This window comes from Homo sapiens, chromosome 3 (genome assembly GCF_000001405.40).
Source record: "Homo sapiens chromosome 3, GRCh38.p14 Primary Assembly".
Taxonomy (NCBI): domain Eukaryota; kingdom Metazoa; phylum Chordata; class Mammalia; order Primates; family Hominidae; genus Homo; species Homo sapiens.
In genome coordinates this window covers 24785864-24807411 of record NC_000003.12, presented here as the reverse complement: position 1 = coordinate 24807411, position 21548 = coordinate 24785864, and the positions used below count along the sequence as shown (strand labels likewise).

General features: G+C 38.0%; 1 long non-coding RNA gene across 1 annotated transcript in view, besides 1 other annotated feature; it reads right to left on the bottom strand.

Annotated features, from left to right (window-relative positions):
- Positions 8725 to 9225: an enhancer, noted in NCBI's record as "H3K4me1 hESC enhancer chr3:24839678-24840178 (GRCh37/hg19 assembly coordinates)". NCBI's record gives its function as "activates a minimal SCP1, AML or CMV promoter by ChIP-STARR-seq in naive H9 embryonic stem cells {active_cell/tissue: H9 hESC(naive)}" and the evidence as "EXISTENCE:reporter gene assay evidence [ECO:0000049][PMID:30033119]".
- Positions 10443 to 21548, bottom strand: part of LOC107986070 (uncharacterized) — a 28200-nt gene continuing 17094 nt past the window's right edge. The window contains exons 2-3 of the long non-coding RNA XR_001740623.1: positions 12929 to 12995; positions 10443 to 10646 (exon numbers count right to left, since the gene is read on the bottom strand). This is a non-coding gene — a long non-coding RNA (uncharacterized LOC107986070). The remainder of the gene's footprint in view (positions 10647 to 12928; positions 12996 to 21548) is intronic.

The following is a 21548-nucleotide window of genomic DNA, read 5'->3' as shown; positions in this document are numbered from 1 at the left end:
CCTCTGTTCTTCTTTTAAATTGTCTTAATTCTTTTAATTCTCATAATAACTATGGGAACGGTATCTATTATGGGCATTCTAAGTCCAGAGAGGTAATGTAACTTGTCAAAAGTTACATGGCTTAAAAAATTATAGACCTGGGATTTTAATCCGGGCAACTTGAATTCAGAAAGTAAACCCTTAATCCTGACTCTTCACTGCATCTTTTTTTCAGGAACAAACATAACCCATTCAGCAGATGAGCTGCCAACCTAGGGATATGAGTGACTGTTGCCTTTGCAATAGCAGCAGCAGCCACAGAAATATTTATGGAGCACTTACTAGATATCAAGTCTTGTGTGAAGCACTTTACATGCTTTCTGTCATTTAAGATCCCAAGATTAAAAAGACAGTTTTCAGGGAAATGAATGTGTCTGACAAAAAGTGCTCTAAAACAACATAAGTGGAAAAATTATCACTAGCTGAAGTGAGGGTGAGAGGTAAGAGGAGTGCTCTTCACAGCTAAGGTGGAATTTATTTTAAATCTGAAGGAATATACAGATAAAGCAAATTAGGATTTATTCAACACTGTATGCCAGAGCTTTTACTAGGCTGTCTTATATGCATGATCTCATTCAGCATAATTAATCATTATTATTTCCATCTAGAGATGAGAAAATTGAGCTCTGGCCAAGTGAACAACTTGTCTGAGGTCCTATGCCTGGGAGTGGTAGTCAGGATCAGATGGGGTCTGTTTGACTCCGAGCCTTCAACAGTCTGTTGCTCATAAGATTTGGATTGCCTAAAAAATGACAGAGAAGTTCTAGATGGCAATTCAGGGACAGAAATGAGCATGATATGACCAGGTGAGCATACTTGGGCCATTAACCAAAGCAAATTGTTACTGTAGGGATAGCAAAGGGAAGTACACATAGAAAAGTAAACTGATGCAATTGGTGGTAGACCAGGTTTTGGAGTTTAAATATTTTTCTCTAGACCTTATAGGGCCTGTGAAATTCTTGAGCAGGGATATTGCATAATGAATAGGTATTTTAGAAAGATATAGAAAGTAAATATGCATCTAAAAAATACCTATGCTTAATGACTCATAAAAATATTAAGTTGGTCCAATACACATCATTTTTATTATATATATACATAAATATTCTGCCACTTTTAAACACCATGTTCATATTATGGTTCTCTTCCCCAGAGAGAAACAATATAAATTTTATCTCGCAGTCACATTCAGGCTTTTGAAAACAACAGCACTGTTCTCTTTCCTTTTATACTACCAGATCTGGAACTGCACTTACGAACCTTCAGCTTAAGTCAGGATCCTTAAAACTGATTTTGAAACATGCCTTTAGTTATCATAGTAATGGATATTAGTTAGATAGAGATATATGTCATGTTTGTGTGATCTTTTTACATACAGAAGATTAGAAGTTAAGGTTAGTAGAAGTTAGTAGGTTAAGAAAAAGTTCAATTAATCTTTATTTTTTTATTTCTGTTTTTCTCTGAATCCCTGAGCCTATATATTAAAACCTATTACATACAATTTTTTGTCAATATACAACAGGTAAAAGCCCTCAGTAGCAGCATCTGAGACGCCTGTGTATCAGATTCAGAGAGAGTTAAGGCAGATTAAAATCAGTAGCTGGTTTCTGAAAATACGAAGGCAGCACCAGTTTTTCAGACCTCCCAGTTCTCTTACCATGTGTGATAAATACACTTGGTACAGGGAAAAATGCAGAGACCCAAGAATCAAAACTTCCGTCTCACCACCACGGTGATATTTTTATTGGCAAGATGGGGTAGCCATGAACCAGGGAGGATGGCCAGTGAGGACAGGGCCGAGAACTCAGGCTGGCAAGAGGTGTTGGGGGCATGGATGGATCTTTGTTTCCATCATACATGTGAAAATTTCAGCTGCTGCCAAGAAGTTGAAGCTAAAACCACCAATTCTTTCACTCTCAAAACACGCTGTGCATTTTAGTCAGTTTTAAAAGTGGGAAACTCTTCTCTGTTATTCATAAGACTCTCTCTTGCTAATAATTTGCATTTGCCTCTAAGAACAAAAAGAAATAGGCATATCTGTGTCTGTGGGGCATCTCACATAAAATTACACAAATGTTTTTTTTGTTTTTTGTTTTTTTCAGACAGAGTCTTGCTCTGTTGCCCAGATTGGAGCACAATGGCGCGATTCTGCTCACCATAATCTCCACCTCCTGGGTTCAACTGATTCTCCTGCCTCAGCCTCCCGAGTAGCTGAGATTACAGGCATGCGCCACCACACTTGGCTGATTTTTGTATTTTTAGTAGAGATGGGGTTTCACCATGTTGACCAGGCTGGTCTTGAACTCTTGACCTCAGGTGATCTGCCCGCCTCGGGCTCCCAAAGTGCTGTGATTACAGGCCTGAGCTACCGGGCGCGGCCCACACATGCTTTTTAAGAGGTCATCAAAGGTCCAAACAAAATTCTACGTGTGGCTACTTAGTTACTAAACCCATGAATGAAAGATACAAAGGGGTCTATCGCCTGATATAACATTGTTTTTCTCATTCAGACTAAGCTCCAAAATGAAAAAATTCCATGATGCCAAGTCACATGGCAGCATTTTGTGCTGGCCTCAGTGGACCTGTCACATCATGATCTCTATTTTATTTGAAATGTATAAGTTAATCCACAAGTGCCCATGTGTGATATCTCCATAATAGGGGTACAAATAGTATTTGGAACTCTATCTCTATCAAGTGACTAGATTAAAAGAGCAGCAGCATTCCCTCTTTGCACAGAGACAGTGATGTTCAAATAGGCACCTAGGAGATGGTGAGTACTTACAATGAGTTATGGCTTGAATGGAATCGGTATAACCTATTCCTACAGACACACCTGTTAAGTAACTGCTATAATGGCTTCCTGTGCTAAAAATAAATGGAATTTCCACCCCTTCCCACCCTACCCCATGCCCAACAAAGGAAACCCTCCAAACTTTTCCTCAGCTTGAAATCTCTAAGGCAAGAAGATTGCAATAAAGGAAATACGAGCACTTGGTTCATTAGTCTCCAGTGCTTCCTGAGCTATAGACACATATAAAGAATGATGCAATTATTGCCTACTTTCCTGACACTCCTGAGAGTACAGGGACCTGGGAAGATGTAATCACAGAGACTAGAAATGACCAATTTAAATAAAACAGTATCATCTGTGACTTCATCCTGGATTATATCCACTCAGTCCATTGTGCTAAATGAGATACTAAGGGAAAAAAAATCATTTTTGAGAGATCTCTCCACATTTGCTTGCATTTAATTTTGAAACTATGTATATGTTATTACTAACTATTCCTCAATCTTTGTTAAAAAAATCTCTGAGTCACACAGATGCTGTCCTCTTAGGTCAGATGATGCCTTGGAGAAGAGGTTCACCTGCCATTGTTTGCCATCAGCAATAAGAAAGATACTAGAAGGGGATGCTGTAACACAGACAGTCCCCCTTGCTTTAGCACTTGAGGCAGATGAGATTCTCTACCCAGCAAAGCTTTACTAGAGTATGGTTAGATGGGTTTCCTGGTAGGGCTGCTTTACATAGCAGACAGAGTGTGTGGTTGTTAGAGTCACAAACATGGGGTATAATCAACCTCTATATTTTATTCTTTGTGTGACTTCAGTCAAGCAAGTTAATCAAGAGAGTCAGTCTCTTATGCAAGCTTCTAAAGAGACTGATTCTATTGCAGTAGAGTACATATATACATATATTCCATATACACATAATATATAACATCGTAAACATTACTTATGTGTAATCTGATGAAAGATTTGTATTCTGAATATATAAAGAACTCTCAAATTCAAATAAAAAGATAAAAAAGCAAATTAAAAAAGCAGATAACAACTATAAACTGAACAAATCCAAATCAACAATCTTCAGCCTCTGGAGAGTCAAAAAAGGAAGCAGATTTAGGAGGGGAAATGAAACTTTGAAGAAGCACTTGGCATAGGATACATTTTTCCATTTTTATAAATTTTGCCTGAGAGCAGACAAGTGTTAAGATACGGCAGGGGACATTTAAAATTCTAGTAGAAAACCTGCCCCCTTTTTTTTTTTTTTTTTTTCTGAGACAGGGTCTTGCTCTGTCGCTCAGGCTGGAGTGCAGTGGCATGGTGTGATCATGGCTCACTGCAGCCTGACATCCTGAGCTCAAGCGATCCTCCCGCCTCAGCCAATCATGTAGCTGGGAATACAGGCATGTGCCACCAGGCCCAGCTAATTTTCTGTAATTTTGTAGAGACAGGGTTTTACCATGTTGCCCAGACTGGTCCGGAACTCCCAGAATCAAGTGATCCACCTGCCTCAGCCTCCCAAAGTGCAGGGATTACAGGTAAGAACCAGCACACCCGGCCAAAACCTGACATTTTTGTATGCCAAACAATCCAATAGAGTCAGGGACAACAGCAGCCATTGGAGAGTGGGGAAGGACTTCTAGAGAGGAGAACACCAGAGAAAAAAAATCCTCAAACTAAACATAAAGTTTGTCCAAGTCTCTGATTGACCCCATAAACCACATATGTGTGGCAAAGGCCAATGCAGACCGTAGCTAGTTTACAGGAACTGAGATTTGATCTGATACTCACTGTAGCCCACAAAACATTTTCAGTTTGAGTCTAACCAAGTTAATTGATTTCTAAAACAAAAACATCATTACTCTTTGGAACAACACAACAAAATTTCTAGTCTTTACAACTTGATATTCACAATGTTCCGCATATAATCTAAAAATCATTAAAAATATACAGAACCAAGAAATTGTAGGTCATTCTTAAGAGAAAATGCAATCAAAAGGAGAAAAGTCAAACCGTAACCCAAATGTTGGAATTATTAGGCAATGAATTTTAAAAGTTTTTAAAAATAATTATGAGTGAAGGAAAAATATTATAATATGTGAAAAGATAGAACATTTAACATAGAAAACTAAAATTTAATGAAAAATCAAATAGAAATTCTAGAACAACTCATTAGGAGAATGGAGATGATTAAGAAAAAAGTTGATGAACTTGGATTTTACTCTTCAAAATATACTAATAAAATAAGACAAGCCATAGGATAGAAAAATTATTTCATATATAAATAATATACGTAACACATATTCTATAATATAAATGTTACATAGATGTATGTAATATTGACAAAAGTCTTATATTCTGAATATATGAAGAACTCTTAAGACAAACAGGTAACTAAAAATGGGCAAAAGCTTTGAATGAAAACTTTACAAGGGACATACAAATGGTCACTAAGCACGTAAAATAAATGTTCAACATAATTAATCATCAAGGAAATGCCCATTAAAACCACAATGAGATACAGAGCCCTTAGCTTAGGATGGCTAAAATTAAAAGGGCTCACAATCCCAAGTGTTGGCAAATGGCAAAGCAGCCAGCACTCTCATATATTCCTGGTGGGAGTGCAAAATGGTACAAGCTCTTTGGAAAGTTGTTTGGCAGTTCCTTCTAAAGTTACACATGAACCTGCGATATTCCATTGTACAGTCTACACTGTACATTTGACATTATACATTCTACAGCTATTCTATTCATTGTTGTTCACCCAAGAGAAATAAAAGCATATGCCCACATAGAACTCATACACAAATGTTCACAGTGCATCTACTCACAGTAACCAAAACCTGGAAAGAAACTGGATGTCTGTTAATAGGTAAATAGAGAAACAAATGCAGTAAACACATATGAAGAAATAGCACTCAGCATTAGAAGGAATGGACTACTTTTTGCCCAAGAAAAAGCATGAATATGAAAATCTGCTGAGAGAAAGAAGCCACACACAAGAGTACATGCTCTACGATCCCATTATATAAAATTCTAGAAAACAAAAACTAATCCACTTTGCAAATAGATGCGTGGTTGCCTGGAATTGAGCGTGGAGGAGGGGTGGTCAGGGAAGAGGTACACGGACACCTTTGAAGACGAGGAAAATATCTTTGTCTTGATTTTGTCGGTGGTTTTATGAGTGTGTATGTCTTTAAAACTCATCAAATTGTGCACTTTAAATGGAAAGTTTATTTTATGTAAATTATTCCTTAATAAGGTTGGTAATAAACACAAAAAGCAAACTATAGGAAATGCTTATCACAACAATATAACACACTTGACTATTTCTTACATTTTTTAAGAGTTCCAACAAATGAGCATGAAAAGTAAGTGACTCAATAAGCAAATGAGTAAAATATATTTAAAAAACATTTATAGAAAATATAGTATGAATGGCATCTTAAGAAGTACTCCTTTTCGCTCATTAGTTAAAAAAAATAAAAATAAAAACTATGAGATACCATATTAAATTGTTCACTGAATTGGCAAAATTAAAGGTTGAAGATGGTCCAGAGAGTGGGAGAGCCGGTCTCATACACTCTACATTATCAACTTGTGCAGCTTTTCTGAATGGCAATTTGGCGATAGCCATACAAATTGAATGTCCAGAGGCTTTGCCCCAGAAATTCTACAGCTGGGGAATATATTATTCAAATTTACCGTTATACATATACACAGATGTTCATGGAGGCATTGCTTGTAACACCAAAAATCGGAAGCAACATGGAGTCAATAAAAGGTTACTTATGCAAAGCATGACACATTAAATGATAGAATACTATTTTGTCATTGAAAAGAACGTGGCTCATTAATATGTATTAACATGAAAAAAATCAATAAATGATGTTATTAAGTAAAACAAAAGCAAAGCAAAACTAAACAAAAAAACAAGCCCCACAAAATGCATATAGCGTAATTTGGGTAAAGCAAAAGAGACATATATATATATTTATATTTTACTATATATATTTGTATGTATACATACATGTGTAAGCATAAATATATAGTAAAATATATACTTGTATGTATGTATATATTTTACTATATATATTTGTATGTATATACTATATATAATTTACTATATATATTTGTATGTATATATGTATGTGTGAGCATATACATATATTTGTATGTATATACCCCTCATATGGGGTGTGAGCATACCTATACACATACAAATATATTACATTGATAAAAACATCTTCAAGAAACACATACACATACACACACACACTATTAATTGTAGTTACTTTGGCAGAGAGAAATGACAAGAGGGAGGGAGTTCTAGTTCAAGAAATCCACCTGTACCCTGAGTTACAAAGCTTTTCTTCTAAATTTTCTTCCAATTACGTGAAAATCATTTCACTTTTAATTATTTAATTCATATGTAATTTAGGATTGTATATAGTATATATGGTAGCAAGTAGGAATTCAGTTTTATATAAATAACTATATTCACAGGTATTCCATCCTATTGTCATTCAAAACTTCTACTGAATTTTAATTTTTAAAAACTTCTTCAATTTATGTTTTTTACTTTTTTTTCTTTTTGAGACAAAGTCTCATCACTCTGTTGCCCAGGCTTGAGTGCAGTGGCAAGTTCATGACTCATTGCAGCCTTGACCTCCTAGGCTCAAGCAATCCTCCCATCTCAGCCTCCCAAGTAGCTGAGACTACAGGTGTGCACCACCATGCCCAGCTGTTTTGAATTTTTTTTGTAGAGACAGGTTTTTGCCATGTTGCCCAAGCTTTGTTTTTGACTTTTAAAGATAATTCTAGTCTTGTTTTACAGATGCACCATTAGATCATCTTTGAGAATACTAATTAGAATTATAAAAATATCTTGGGGGGTTAGGTTATCAGTTTATTCTGGTCTCTTCCATGATACAGGTTTTTTCCTTGTGTTTCTCTGCTATGATACAGTCTTTCCTTACACATTCAGTGGTCCTTGGGGATTCTGTCACACATCTGAATGACAGAAGCCTGGGTGGTAGCTGTGTGGATCTGGGTGGAACTTGTCCCTGGCAGGCTTCTCAGAGAAGGCAGGTAGAGAGGCATCGATGATCGCTCTGCTGCCCACCCCATAAATGCCAGAGTGGGAAGAACTTTAATCTAAGGTACTTCCACTCATTCACATTCCCTGTGTTCAGGGTTCATACTGATTTTTTATTTCTTTTAAAGAGAGTGTTCCTCTGATCTTTTGGCCTGAGGGTAATTGCTAGGATGCCTATGCTCCACCTCTGGAGGTTGTAGAGGGAGGTAGTTCAGACTTTTAATTATTTCCTCTGTCTTTAGCTACATATCTCACTTCTGCTGCCTAGAGTGAATCTCTCTGGCCTTCTCCAGGGAAGACTGTCTTTTCTGCCCCTTTGGAGCCCTCAGTGTGTATTCTAGGCTGTGGCTTCCTCCACTTGGTTTCATTTGTTATTGCTCTTAGACCCATTTTTAATTTCAGAAATGTATAGATGTCTTTATCTGCTATATCACTCCTCCTATTCTCTTTGCTTTTGAAATGGAAGAGTTCCCTGATCCCCCTGGCAGGATGTCCAACAGGGGTGTGGCTCACCTGTTTGGTCACAGCCACTGCACAGAACCCTTATGGGACAGGGATCATGCAGACAGACAGTTGAAGGAGGCCAAGTGGACATGTGTTACAGTGTGCCCATTTAGCCTTGCCATTTGCCCACAGCTTGAGTGTTAACCAGCTCAATGGAACCTCTGCCTTTCTGCAAGGGCAGAGGGCCAGTGTGACAGCCTTCTGTATCCTGAGCTCTTGTCCAGTGTCCTGGAAAAATTGGGTCATACACAGACTTGAAGAATGAATGCAGGAGATTCATTGAGAGGTGGAGGTGGCTCTCAATGGGATGGATGGTGATGCAGAAGGGGGGATGGAGTGGGAAGGTGATCTTCCCCTGGAGTTGGGCCATCCAGCAACCAAACTCCTCTCCAACCACCCCCAGCCAAACTCCTTTCAACACTCAGATGTTCTTCCTCTTCTCTCTTTCTCTGCTGTGTCATTCCACCCTTTTGTCAGCTTATCTCGTCTCCTCATCTCCTGGTATGCTCTGGACCCTGGGGTTTGGGGTCTATATGGGTACAGGATAGGGGGCATGATAAGCCAAAGGCAACTTTTTGGTGAGAAAACAGGAATGCCTGTTCTCATTTAGGGCCGTGGATATCCAACTTTAGGGTGGGGCTTTTGCTGGGGGACTGCCCTCTTCTACCCGGTATTTCCCTGTCTCCTATCCATATCATTTTTATCGTTTTGTCTCAGGTTTATACCTCTACTGTAATTTTAATTTGAAGGAGTAGGAAGTAAATGCACTTTCTTAATTAATCACCTTTACCTGGAAGCCCAAGAACTAAATGTTGAGCCAAGCAGTGCTGGCTATCATTTGAGACGGCATCATTATGTGGTGGTGAGAGGCATCCAGGAGATATTACTAAAAAGTTTCTATTAAAATAAAAGACTGGGACAAAAAAGAGAAAATGTCACTGCATTGGGGATATCACCAGAAACCCACGGAAGAACAGTTTATTTGTGTTGATGGGAGTGGAATCCAAATTTTAAGAGTATGAGAAGTTAGTAATGTCCACTCATGAGTGGCAACTTTAAGTGATCATCCTTGTCCCTGAATGCCAGCTGACACTCTGATTGCAAACCTTGCTTCTGTCCCCTTTTTTTGAACCCTTTCTAAGTAGTTGCCTTTTCCCTTCTTGAGACCTCCCAGATACTGATTTGAAGCTTGTTTGTCTATTTTTACTTTTGCTCAGTATATGGGCAAATGCATCCTATATCCAGGTTCTATTTTGTCCACTACTACCATAGGGTGAGCCTGATATTCATCTACCTCTGCCTCTCCTGCGACTGCGCACGACACACAGGCTGCTCAGGCTGGCACTCTTACCCATCTGGTTCTGGCCCCATGAGAGACAACTGAGGAAAGAGTGAAGCAGTGAAAAAAGAGTGAGTATAGGTGTAAATACATCAGAGTAATAACGTGATTATAATCTCCTTAAGGGCAGCAAGAAGGTCTTGTTCTTCTTCACACCCTTAAGAACTTACCAAGCACAATAAGCACTAATTAAGCCCGAATTCAATTGAATAGAGCAGTTTCTGCCTCTGTAGTACTTAAAAGCACCAATTACATAATCCTCTCAGCTCACCTACAAGGCAGGCAATTATAAATACTCCTCATCCTAGATACTGAGAGAAGGCAGAACACATATTCTTCAATTTGAGGTTATCTCATACATCCTAATGTGTCTTTTAGCAAACAACATTAAATATAACCATTGTTCTATTTTTATTCCTTTCTTCCACAGATGTTTATGGAGTACCCATCATGGTTCATCACTGCTGTAGGCACTGAGAATACAGCAGTGTAAACAAACCAACAAACAAAATCCCTGCCATCGTGGAGCTTACAGTGTGTTTAGATATAGGTGATCCATGCAACACCAAAATGGCAGCTTTTTACACATTTTAAAATTATTTCAATTCTTTGATTTTGAAAGGAAAGGGATTAACTGATCCTTGGACGAAAAATAATCCACAAAGCTGTGCCTCTTACCCATGATCATAAATTGTGAGGCTTTGCAAGCAAAGTGGTCATGCTTAGTGATGGGCACGAGATCAGTGTCCCAAGAGAAAGGTAAAATTCTTGAGGAGGATAACTGTGCCTATAATCTCCGTCTTTCAGGGGTGTCCATGGTGTCCATGATGTTTAGTAGCAAATCAACCCATTCATATAGGTTTTGTAGATGTCTGCAAGCTAGAACAACAGAGAGCAATGACTGGCTTAATACTGCTGAGTTAATGACCTGGTTCTCCACATGGCCCAATATGCAATCTAATCTTGGAGTACTGAGATTCAAAGTGACTGTAAGGGCTTCAGAAAATAGCCCAAATTTTTATTTTATCCTGCTAAAGTATATTTGGCTTTATATCATCCTTGTAAATTTACACAGATTATCAGTGATCCAGTCACAGTCATAGCTACTATATTATACAAATTAAATCAAAATTGCCCAATAACCTAGCCCTTCTCATGCTGCAGAGCTTACATGCTTCCTATTTCTCACAAATGTACAAATTTAAAAAGAACTCATTAAAATTAATGAGAAATAGACTTTTAAAAGAATCATAATTTTTTTCTCTATATCATTTTAATTTGTGCCAGTCATAATGCACCCAAAAACAATTAACTCATAAAATATAGTGGCTCTAAAGTTATATTAGCTTTTATCTCTACTCTTATTGTGCTTACTTTCAAAAATATGAAACCATAAATCATAAATAATAGACTTATCTTATGAAAATGAAATGTCACTCTGTTTATTTGGCTCCCAATCATGGCAAAAATAAATAAGGAGATGGAGGGAAAGATAAATCAGATCTATACAGGGTGATGCATTCCCTTTTTCCATTTGTCTTATCATGTCAGCTCATATCCTGCAAAAATGTTACCATTAAATTGTAAGGAGGAAAATCTGTCAATATAATCTTGGAGGCAACTACAAACAAATTTAATCAACTGAGAACAAGGGTGACTAATAAACTCCAATGAGAATTAAGAATCTGTTCAAGAAGCAGAATACATGTTGATGTATTGCTTGAAAATATGATTATCATTGCCTAAAAAGTCTATTCATATCATGCTCTTTAGATGTCTGAATTTGGGTAACAGTTCTCAGAAACCGAGCAAAGGTGATCACACAAGTAGAATGTATTAATTGCATCTCCCATGGTGGAGGGTCAGGCAGGGCTTGGTGGACTTGCATTACATGTATATCAGGTAAAAGAGCAAGAAATGGAAGAAAATAAGGGTAGCTGAGGACATGTTCTCTCATTTTTCTTTGCTTGCTGGTACGTGACCATCTGTTTCCCATCCACAGGAAATAAATAATGCAATTAGAGTAGGAATTCAGGTGGGTAAAGGGAATAACTGTGTATTTTTCACATCTTGTTTTGTTTTGTTTTGTTTTTAAGAGATGGGGTCTTGCTATGTTGCTCAGGCTAGCCTTGAACTCCTGGACTCAAGCAATCCTCCTGCCTCAGCCTCCTGATTAGCTGAAATTACAGGTGCGTGTCATGGAACTGGGCAGAGTAGCAGATCCAGATAAAATAAACTTTTTGCTATCTTAGAATGCTGGAGGATAGGATTCTCTTTTATCATGATCATGGCATGCCGGAAGCACTGAGTTCTATTCCAGACACCTGGATAGGTCTATATGAGGTTCAGGGACTTGTAAAAGAGCCCTGGACTAGTTCACACTTTATGGGTAGACCCATCTAACAGAATGGGATTCCTTAAACATGCCAGACTGACAACAGAGGTAATGTGGTCCCTGAAAGAAAATCAGCAAAGTGAAGAAACAAATCTGGCAGAGCGGACTGATCTAAGAGGTAAAGCAGAATTTGCAAGAGACCAGTGATTCCAAATCACCATGACTCCCATCTCATCATCTCTTTCTTCCCCTCCCAGAAAGTATGGGAAAACTCTAAGCGGGAGACAAAAATGGCAGAGACTAGTCATTCTCAAATTTCAAGGAACATAAGAATCAACTGGGGCTCTTGTTAAAAATACAGATTCTGATTCAATAGGTCAGCGAGCAGAGGGAGAGAAGGGCCGAGGGTCAGTACTTTTCATACTTCCCAAGTGATGCCAATGTTGCTGGTACATAGACCACACTCTGAGTGGCAAGGGTCAAGAAGATTGCTGGGTCACTTAGGATAATCCATTGACTGTTGGGACCCTCTGTGAAAGGCTGTCATAAAAGCAGAAAGGATTTTCCTTGGGCTAGAAAGTAGAAGACCTACAGTGGTCACGAATGCAGAGGAGGACTACACTGCTGAACGCAGCTGGGAGACCTGAATGGTAGGTAGTTCACAGAAGATCTGTAGAAAGGAAAACGGGTGAGGGCTCAAGACTCAGTGTCAAAATGACTTGAGTTACACTTCATCTTCTTAGCTATGTAATCTTAGGCAAGTCGTTCCACATCTTTGAGACTGTTTCTTCATCTAAATATAAAATGTGATAATAATTATACTTACCATCAATGATTGTTGTTGATTGTTGTGAGGATTAAATGAAGTAATGTAGGGACAATTCTGGTACCTACTGAGCACACAAGAAAGCAGTTGTTGGTTATTTGTCTTTTAACTCTCAATTTCATTTTCAACCTTCCTACCTGAAAGCAATGCCACCCAGACCCCCTGGCCAGCTAGTTTCTGTTTAACCTCTGTTAACCATTGGGAGATATTGGAGGAAGAGTAAAAGTTAGGATAAACAATAAGTCATTTTTTTTCTTCCTTTTTTTTCTGGCTCTGGAAGTGACAGCAGTCAAATCCCAAAAGCCTTAGAAACGTGAGCTCATTGACTCTGATCGCAGCAGCTGCCACCGCAGTGAAAATGGCAAGCAAATGTAGGTGACTGCCAGGTGCTGCATTCATACATGGTTATGGCAGCTGCAGCAGCAGAAACAAGTAACTATGGGCTCCAGAAGTCTCCGTGGCATCAGCAACACTGGGCTCCAGGGCTCCTGAGGGTCAGCAGGAGTGCAGGCTTCTGGCTTCCTGCAGAGCCACGGTGGTGATGGTTTGGATAACAGCTGTGACACTAAACACTGCAGCACTCTCCACGGCACAGCCCTTGTGGGTTCCATGAAACACCACTGTCTCTTTTGTCCCTTGGCTCTAGGTGGGTAGAGGCTGCTCAGATACTAATCTCCAAATAACATCTCATCTTTTCCCTTCTTGATTCCCTAGTCCTTCCAATACTTTTGTAAATAATTCACTTTGTTAAATTCTCTTTGTTTAAAATAACTAGAGTTATTTCTATTTTCCTGATGAGACACTGACAAGGACTTATTATTGACAATGATGATGTTATTGGGCAGGGTTGAGGTGGGTAAGAGAAGTACCCGTGGCTACTAAATCTTGGTCCATAGGAGGTTTGTAGCCTGAAATCACATTTTGTCCTTCCCCATCTCCTCTCCAACCCTGCCCTAAAAACACGCACATATCCAGATGTTATAAATCCAAGATTTCTGGCTATAATGGCAGATTTCTGAAATCAAACATGTGATATCAGACATGAAATAATATAATAGAAAGACTGGTAAATAGAATTACAAAATTGTCCCACAAAACTTAATAAAATAAATGAAAAATTTTTGAAAATAAAGGAAATTTGAGAGCCAGTCAGGAGTCCAAGCATCCAAATCATGAGTCTCAGGATGACAGAACAAAAAAAGAAAGGAGTGGAAACTATAAAATAATATGAAAAAAATTTGCAGACCCGAAGGGCATGAGTTTCCAGATTGTAAGATTTCCTTGTGTACCTAGATCAATAAATGAAGAAACAATAATACGAACACCACCAAGACACACAATTATTAAATTGCAGGAAATCCTGTTAAAGAGAAGTTCTGAAATCTTTCAGAGAGAAAATATATCACATACAAAAGATCAGAGATTATAATGACATTGAACTTCTTGGAGCAGCACTGGAAGCCAGCAAGCAGTGGGATAACTCACTTGGAAGCTAAATAGGAAATAATTTTTAAAATTATTTTAATTTTATATAACATTCTTATATATAGTTACTATGTTAATTATTTTATGCATAAACTAAATTATAAATCCAGTGTGAGAGTAGAGACCATAAATCCAGTGCGATGGCTGTCTTTTGATGCAGAAGATCTCAAAAACTGTTACTTCAACTGGCCCTTTCTAGAAGCCACTAGAGGTTGTACTCAAATAAATCAGAGAGTAAAACAAGAGAAAAAAAACACCTGGTATCTAGGGGAAAGTGTATTGCCTTACTTTGGATGGTCCAGGAGTGGGCTCAGAGACAGGGATTTGACTGCCAGCAGTGTGATGGAAGAAGTGCAACGGGGAAGAAACGGCAACTAACAAGGAGCACGTTATCAAGCAAGGCACCACTGTGGGCAATCAGAGCTTGATTCTGCTGGGGAACTTCTGGGAAACAGGGCAGATCACATGGCTCAGAATTATCCCTTTCAAAGGACAAGGAAGATAGGTTTATATCCATCTTGTCAATCATCTGTTCAGAACTATTCCCAGAGGGGGTTATTTCTCAGGTGTTTTCAACCCCCTTATGTGATTGGGCAAGGCAGGCCCTAGGGGGGCAAAGAAAGCCCTCAAGACAAAAAATCCAGGTGCCAGCTGTTGGAAGCTGGACAGATATGTGCACCAGGCACCATCAGTGACATACATCAATCCACTCACATTCCATAAGTGAGGACTAGCCACAACGGCCCACCTAGGTACAAAAGAGGTTGGGACATGTAGTCCTGGCAAGAGAGCCTTTTTCCCCAACAACTTTAGACTGTGGGCAATGGGTGTGTGAGTGCAGTGGGGGCAGGGTGTCTGTCATTGATGAGCAGCTATCTTCTGCCACGACTAATTTTTTCTTTTACCCACTGACAGCCACTAAAATGGAACTAGTGCCACTGGGAGGTATCCAATATCATCCTTGCTCTCAGTTTTTTCCTTCTAAGTTGATTTTGTTTCATCAGAAGATACAACTTATAACATGGCACTTTTTCTCACTCTGAGCTCTAGTTAGCCTCAAGAGTAGTGTATGTAAATCCCAGGAACCCATTTAATTCAATTTAGTTTAATTCAACAAATATTTAGAGTCCCTTCTGTGTTGTAGGCCTTGGAAATACAATGATAAATAGGACACTTTGTCACCTTCTAAATTCGAAGTGCGGGGAACTAATCATTCCAAGTGGTGTCTGACACTGGTGCCATACTCTATTTAGCTTCATGTGTCTCAGGACATTTTTATCGGGGGGATATAGGTGATCCCTAATTATCAAAATAATACCTTGATTTTCGGCAAAACATCTAAAATCTATTCAGGAAAACTACTCATCTGCCAGTACCCAGATCAAATGTCATCTTTGATAAACCTGCTCCCAGGAATTCCAAATGCAATTATCGACTTCCTTCTAGGTGCTCCATGCTACTCTGCGGAGAACTACAGAAAAGTCCTGGATTGCATTTTAGCTATATTTTTGCTTCAAAATTTCCTCCAAAAAAAACCCTTTAAGCCACTCTAAGCCAGGAACTCACCTGTTCTTCGTTGTTTTCCAAGCACCTAGCATAAAGTATATATAATGTATATCCTTATATGGATTATAAATGAATGAAATAGAATTCACCTTTTTTTTAAGGTTGATACTTGGAATCAATCAGTGACTACTGTTAGAAATTCACCTAGATCTTGGTGCTGGCCATTTTATGAGAAAAGGTTGCATTTTAAAATGTTTTCTGTAGGTGTCTATGAAGAATTTTACTTAGGCATTTTACTTAGTTACCATTCATCTGTGAATATTTAATGCTAATTGATAATGAATAATGGATGCTAGATTATGATGATTAATATATTGGGTGCTTTAGTTTAGAAACCTAGTAGGTATATACAGAAAAATACTCCCTAAAAGTTAGCGATCTCATGCTGGAAATTCTGGGTCCTTACCCAGCTCTACCACTCAGTAGTTATTTGACCTTCGCAAGCCATTTAACTCCCTTCGGCCCCCATTTCCTATTCCATAAAATGCAGAGGATAATAGTTACACAGTCGTAGTAAGAATTTAAAAACTGTAAATCTTTTTTAACTATGCAAAAACTGCTCAAATGTGTTTAACTCCTGTGCTGGGAGTTAAACCAAGAAATATCTGACATAATCTCTCTTAAGCAGTTTATAGTTGTGTTATAAATCAACATGAGAAAGACAAATAGCTCTTTAGAGAACTCTACAAAGGGTGCAAGCATTCAGGTTGCACAAAAAGAAATCTAAGTGGCCAAAACCACATGAAAAGACACACAGTCTCACTCTAAATTTTAACAATGCAAATCGAAAGAATGAAATCTTTTTTTCACTGACTAGATTGGAAAAAGTTAACAATTTTATAATACTTAAGTGTCCATGATGATGTGTAAAAGGAGACACGTTCAAACATTGTTGAAGGAAACAAAATCAGTACAAATAATTTAAAGAAGTTAGCATAGCTGTCAAAGCACTAACGTGTTTTAAGAGTCGATACCCTTGATCCGCAGTTCTACTGCTGGGAATTTATCCTTTGGAGATACTCAGAAATAATAATGTATGTAAAAGATTATGCATGGCATCATTAATAACAAAAACTGCTAGCAATCTGAATGCCTATCAGTTAGGAGTAGCTTAAATAAATAATGGTTCTTGCAAACAATAAATCAAGCACTCCTCAGACATTAAAAACAATTAGCTATCTCTATGTATGTGTATAGGTTGTGGTAACAGTAAATACTGACACTGATCCCAAAATTTCACTGTCTTAACATAATGAAATTTGATGTTTTTACTCATGTTACAGCCCAGTGCAAGTGCTCTGGTCACAGGTTAGGGAGTTCAAGGGTATGTGCTCACTACAATCCAGCAGACATCCAGGCTGAGGGAGGCTATACCACCTTCAACATCCGGATTCCACGGTCACCCTTATCATCAACATCCTACTGACAGATAGAAAATGGGGAGAGGATTATGCATGGATATTTTTATGGACCTGATCCGGAAGAGGCACACATCACTTCCGCTCCCATTCTACTGCCTAGAATTCACTCAGTTGGCCGCACCTAACTGCTAGGGAGTATTAGAAGTATGGTCTATTGTGAACCTAGGAAGGTTTGATGATAAACACCAAATGACAAGGTCTGCCATGATATTTTAATGTCTGTCAACTTTGAAAATACAGAGTTAAGAAAAAATGCAATGTACAGAACAGCATATGCACATATGTGCATATGTGTATAGACCCCATATCTTTAGATTTTTTAAAAGGCATATGCCAATATGCCACCATGTTTTTAGAAAGGCATATACAATTATGTATATTCTATTTTTATATATGTATACTCAAGAAAATAACAAGTGGTTATTTTGATGAGTGAGACTAAGATTGTGGTGAGGAAAGAGACTTTACTCTTTCCTACACTTTTCCTTTTGGTTACATTTTTAAAAATTATGTGTGTATGACTTGTATTTTAAAAAATGCTTTTAAGCAATGACAAAAATATCCCACTATAGACACATGACTACTATATCCATCTTAATTATAACATAATTCATTGATAAATGGAAGCCATATCCATCTATCCATGGAGAAAGTGCTTCGTAAATATTGAACAAATTGAAGAATAAATTAATGAAGGAATTGTATAAATGATATAAAGGTAAAGAAATTCAACTAAGGGAAGAATCAGTAGGTGTTGTGATTGTCATGGAAGCCTTCTTGAAGAATCCCGGATGCGAATTAGGTCTTGAAGTATGCCTTAATTTGGAACAGTTAACTTTCATATGAATACTAGAACACAGTATTGGGAAGCAAGAATATCCAAGCCTTAGAAAAAAATTTTTAAAAAGACACAGGCCGCATTCTGTATTTCTAGAACCATTTTGTGTTCACCAAGTTTAAATTGTCCATTACTTGGTTTCCCTCTTTCACAGCCTTTAGAACACTATATCCTACTCTGTTGTTTTATTTTATTTTATTTTTGGCCCTCAATATGACCAAGATTTTTCATTCTTGTCCTGTTTTCTAGGTACCTTCCCATTTGTTATTTCTCGCCAACCCCTGGGCCTCCACTACCTCTTATATAAGACTTCCTGCCTTTATGGGCATCATCTTTCTGTGGTCCATTACCAGGAAAGGGGCTTTGGGACTTCCACCTTCACTGCTTTCTCTTGCCTTCAAACCTCCTGCTTGTAATCATGTGAGTAATGCAATTTTACTGAAAGAGGTATATTTTCCTTCACTTCAGAAACCTTTGTTTTGTGTACCATAGTTAAAAAAATATGTACAGGGTTATAACTATTGTATTTTATCAGCTAGAAGTAAGGAAATTATGTGGGGAGGAATGTTGGCTTGTAAAAGATATTATACTGCTTCCTGCTTTTGCTCTATATCCTGCAGGTAAACTGACTGATATTTTAATTTCCTCAGACTCTTTTGAAAGCTCTCTAAATGAATATTCTGAAGAAAATATATAACTTTGGTTATCATACTTTATGGTTATTACTGTGTACACATTAAATGTGAATTAATGCAATAAAACAGTGCATTTCACATAAAAATACTATGAATTCCACTGCTGCCACTGATATAACACATGTATCAATGTAATTATGGATTACAAATCTTAGCCAAGAGAGGAAGTAACATTTATTTGATATTCACTTATTGTGAGAATTCAAAAAAAGTAAGGCACTTTGATACTGCAATTTTACCTGATCCATTTCCCTTACTTGAGGAGCCTTTTAGGAAATTAGCATTTGCTTTAGACTGATCTTTAATTTGATAACAGGTAGTGGTACTGGAAATGTTTAGGTAAGACTGGCATCAGTGACAATCCACATGCCACTAGAAATGAATAATTCTTACCACTGAAATTTACAGAGATTCTGATATCTTCCCCAGATATAATCAATGTTTACAAGGTATTTTACAGTCTTAATATTACACTAGATAGACAAATAATATAGACATTACAGCAAATTGTTACATGCTAGCTACTCTCTACAACAGACACTAACAATAAATGCATTTACAGACATTCAGTTTGGAAATTTTGTGTGTGTGTGTGTGTGTGTGTGTGTGTGTATATATATATATATATATATATACACTTTAAATAAACTATCCAAACTTCATTAAGAGTAGTGTTTATCAGTAAATGAATTTCACACATTTTGAGGAAAGAAAAAAGGCTCAGGCAATATTTAGAATCATGAACTCTAAGATCATAAAGATTATTCTTTAGAGGTAAACCCTAACTATGAAAAAATTTCATATCCCCTACAGCACCCAGGACAAAAACTGGGTACTAATAAGTACTAACTGGCATGATTTCTCAGAACTTCAGTTTTTACGCCCTGCTACAGCTACTTTACTCTACCAAAACTTAGCCACTGGGGGTATGAATATGAGGGCACATATGTATGTACACATGCCCCACAAGGAAAGGAGTATAGTATATTATATCAGAAGCTGTCTTTCCTAATTACATGTTTGTCCACATACGTCATCCTTCTCCCGTCTCGTTCATCTCCTTCATCCTTGCTAATAGTGTATTTCTCTATTTTCAGGCACTGGGCAGAGAAGACTTGACTTCAAGGAAGGTGGCTTAGCCCCTGGTCTAGGGATGAGCATAAGCCTAGTTCTGGACACTGTAATATAAGCGAGTATCTTCTGAGGAAGAATTTTCCTCTTTAATAAGATAGGGGTTACATGAGGAAAAGTGCTCTTTGCAACATAACCTCCTATGTCCTGCCTTTCAATCTGTGTCAAATGGAACTGTGGTGCTTTCAACTATGGCTGCTACCTTGAAACAGAAAGACCAAGAGACATCAACACAGCATCTTGACATTGTTCAGTCCCAAAGTCATCCAGCAGCTGCCTGCCTCTGGGTTTCTTAGTACACAAAACAAGTAGATGATTCTTTTTATACACTATTGCTGTTTTGTAAAACATTATTTAAGTATCTATTTGAAGTTTCTGGTAATTCCATAAATTGAAACCAGCCATCTGGGTTGTGTGATAATTTTTCTAGCAGTGTTCAGATGAGTCAGTAAAGATGTGAGGAAAGGGAAAGTTTGGGTTCAACAAGGACTGGGGTTCTATTGGGTAAGTACAGTAAAGGGAGAAGGAAACAGGGAGTTGAGAGTGTTTGCAGAAAAGGTGATTCTAACAAGAATCAGGGAATCTAAGCAAGATAAAGAGGAAAGTCAATATGGAGAGGTCAAATTAGGTCTTAATGAGGTCAGGGAACTCTTGCAGAGGGCATATTGGAGTGAATGGATTGGGAATGTAGGAGAGGGTGGTTAGACACTAGAATGCTTGAAACTGGAATAAGAAATGGAGGCATTACAGATGATGAGAAGTCAGAAAACCACTTTGGAGATAGGGAGGTCAAAGCCCAGAGAGATCAAGTTGACGTAAAACAGCATGAAAACTTACACACACACACACACACACACACACACACATGATCTTATTCATAAGTTGATAATATATTTAAACATTCTTATGCTACCCTCCCCTACATCCATTTCCCCCTTTTCTGCCTGTTCTGTGCCCTGTGAGGCTGATATCTATAAGCTGCATCACTCAGGTACCCTGCTCCTGTGGCTGTGGTTGGGTTTGACCAAGGAAAGTTGAGGGGAAATGAAAGTTGGAATATTTCTGTCCCTCCCCTATCCCTTCCTGAATGTGGTTCCAGCAGTGGCTGAGTACCAGGGCTACAGTTCCTGATGGAGGTGAGCGTTCCTCTCTCAGAGCTCCAAGCCATCTGCAGGCTCTATAACACATCGCCCTCATCATTGTGCCTTGCGGCCTAGAGTCAACAATGGCTTCATGTAGCCTTCATTCCCCATTTGTTCTCTTAACCTAGATTATATCCCTCCAAATATTTTCTTAATTTAACTTTCTTCAATTAAACTTTTTGAGTGTGGTACATATTTTCTCCAGGACCCAGGCTATTTCAGTCAATTTCACAAATTGACTGTGAAAAAGTTTACACAATTTAATATACAAAATAGTCAACAATAGAGGAAAGTATCTTAAGGAAAGTGACAAATGTTTTGCTACCTAATATAAACTAATGA